The sequence below is a fragment of the Homo sapiens genome, chromosome 7, assembly GCF_000001405.40.
Source record: "Homo sapiens chromosome 7, GRCh38.p14 Primary Assembly".
NCBI classification, from domain to species: domain Eukaryota; kingdom Metazoa; phylum Chordata; class Mammalia; order Primates; family Hominidae; genus Homo; species Homo sapiens.
Window position 1 is genome coordinate 86,546,789 of NC_000007.14, and position 2,437 is coordinate 86,549,225.

At 45.6% G+C, this 2,437-nt stretch overlaps 1 annotated feature.

Annotated features, from left to right (window-relative positions):
- Window positions 683–1,882: an enhancer, noted in NCBI's record as "CDK7 strongly-dependent group 2 enhancer chr7:86176787-86177986 (GRCh37/hg19 assembly coordinates)". NCBI's record gives its function as "activates an origin of replication core promoter dependent on BRD2, BRD4, P300/CBP, MED14 and CDK7 cofactors, with strong dependence on CDK7, by STARR-seq in HCT116 cells {active_cell/tissue: HCT116}" and the evidence as "EXISTENCE:reporter gene assay evidence [ECO:0000049][PMID:35650434]".

Sequence of the window (2,437 nt, forward strand, 5' to 3'; positions counted from 1 at the left end):
TTGAATGTTGGCCTGCCTTGCTAGGTTGGGGAAGTTCTCCTGGATAATATCCTGAAGAGTGTTTCCCAGCTTGGTTCCATTCCCCCCGTCACTTTCAGGTCCGCCAATCAAATGTAGTTTTGGTCTTTTCACATAGTCCCATATTTCTTGGAGGCTTTGTTCATTTCTTTTTACTCTTTTTTCTCTAAACTTTTCTTCTCACTTCATTTCATTCATTTGATCTTCAATCACTGATACCCTTTCTTCCACTTGATCGAATCGGCTACTGAGGCTTGTGAATGCGTCATGTAGTTCTTGTGCCATGGTTTTCAGCTCCGTCAGGTCATTTAAGGTCTTCTCTACACTGTTTATTCCAGTTAGCCATTCATCTAATCTTTTTTCAAGGTTTTTAACTTCCTTGCAATGGGTTTGTACATCCTCCTTTAGCTCAGAGAAGTTTGTTATTACCGACTTTCTGAAGCCTACTTCTGTCAGCTCGTCAAAGTCATTCTCTGTCCTGCTTTGTTCCGTTGCTGGCGAGGAGCTGTGATCCTTTAGGGGAGAAGGGGCACTCTGGTTTTCAGAATTTTCAGCTTTTCTGCTCTGGTTTCTCCCCACCTTTGTGGTTTTATCTGCCTTTGGTCTTTGATGATGGTGACCTACAGATAGGGTTTTGGTGTGGATGTCCTTTTTGTTGATGTTGATGCTATTACTTTCTGTTTGTTAGTTTTCCTTCTAACAGTCAGGTCCCTCAGCTGCAGGTCTGTTGGAGTTTGCTGGAGGTCTACTCCAGACCCTGTTTTCCTGGTTATCACCAGCGGAGGCTGCAAAACAACAAATATTGCAGAACAGCAAATATTGCTGCCTGATCCTTCCTCTGGAAGCTTCATCTCAGAGGGGCACCAGGCTGTATGAGGTGTCAGTCGGCCACTACTGGGAGGTGTCTCCAAGTTAGACTATACCAGGGTCAGGGACCCACTTGAGGGGCCAGTCTGTCTGTTGTCAGAGCTCAAACACCGTGCTGGGAGAACCACTGCTCTCTTCAGAGCTGTCAGACAGGGACGTTTAAGTCTGCAGAAATTTCTGCTGCCTTTTGTTCAGCTATCCCCTGCCCCCAGAAGTGGAGTCTACAGAGGCAGACTGGCCTCCTTGAGCTACGGTGGACTCCACCCAGTATGAGCTTCCAGGCCACTCTGTTTAGCTACTCAAACCTCAGCAATGGCAGACGCCCCTCCCCCAGCCAGGCTTGCTACCTGGCAGTTCAAACTCAGACTAGCAGTGAGCAAGTCTCCTTAGGCATGGGACCCGCTGAGCCAGGCACAGGATATAATCTCCTAGTGTGCCATTTGCTGAGACCTTGGAAAAGTGCAGTGCTTAGGTGGCAGTGTCCCAATTTTCCCGGTACAGTCTGTCACAGCTTCCCTTAGCTAGGAAAGGGAAATCCCCCAACCCCTGGCAATTCCCAGATGAGGCAATGCACCATCCTGCTTCAGCTCATCCTCTGTGGGCTGTATCCACTTTCCGACCAGTCCCAGTGAGATGAACCAGGGACCTCAGTTGGAAATGCAGAAATCACCCATCTTCTGCTTCAATCATGCTGGGAGCTGCAGACTGCATCTGTTCCTATTCGGCCATCTTGGAACATAAAACAGGCCTGCATTACAAGAGCTCCTGAAGGAAGTGCTAAACATGGAAAGGAACAACCGGTACCAGCCACTGCAAAAACATGCCAAATTGTAAAGACCATTGATGATAGGAAGAAACTGAATCAACTAATGGGCAAAATAACCAGCTAACATCATAATGACAGGATCAAATTCACACATAACCATATTAACCTTAAATGTAAATGGGCTAAGTGCCCCAATTAAAAGACACAGACTGGCGAATTGGATAAGGAGTCAAGATCCATCAGTGTGCTCTATTCAGGAGATGCATCTCATGTGCAGAGACACACATAGGCTCAAAATAAAGGGATGGCAGAAGATCTACCAAGAAAATGGAAAGCCAAAAAAAGCAGGGGTTGCATTCCTAGTCTCTGATAAAACAGACTTTAAACCAACAAAGATCAAAAGAGACAAAGAAGGCCATTACATAATGGTAAAGGGATCAATTCAACAAGAAGAGCTAACTATCCTAGATATATATGCACCCAATACAGGAGCACCCAGATTCATAAAGCAAGTCCTGAGTGACCTAAAAACAGACTTACACTCCCACACAATAATAATGGGAGACTTTAACACCCCGCTGTCCATAGTGGACAGATCAACGAGACAGAAGGTGAACCAGGATATCCAGGACTTGAACTCTGCTCTGCACCAAGCAGACCTAATAGACATCTACAGAACTCTCCACCCCAAATCAACAGAATATACATTCTTCTCAGCACCACATAGCACTTATTCCAAAATCAACCACATAGTTGAAAGTAAAGGACTCCTCAGCAAATGTAAAA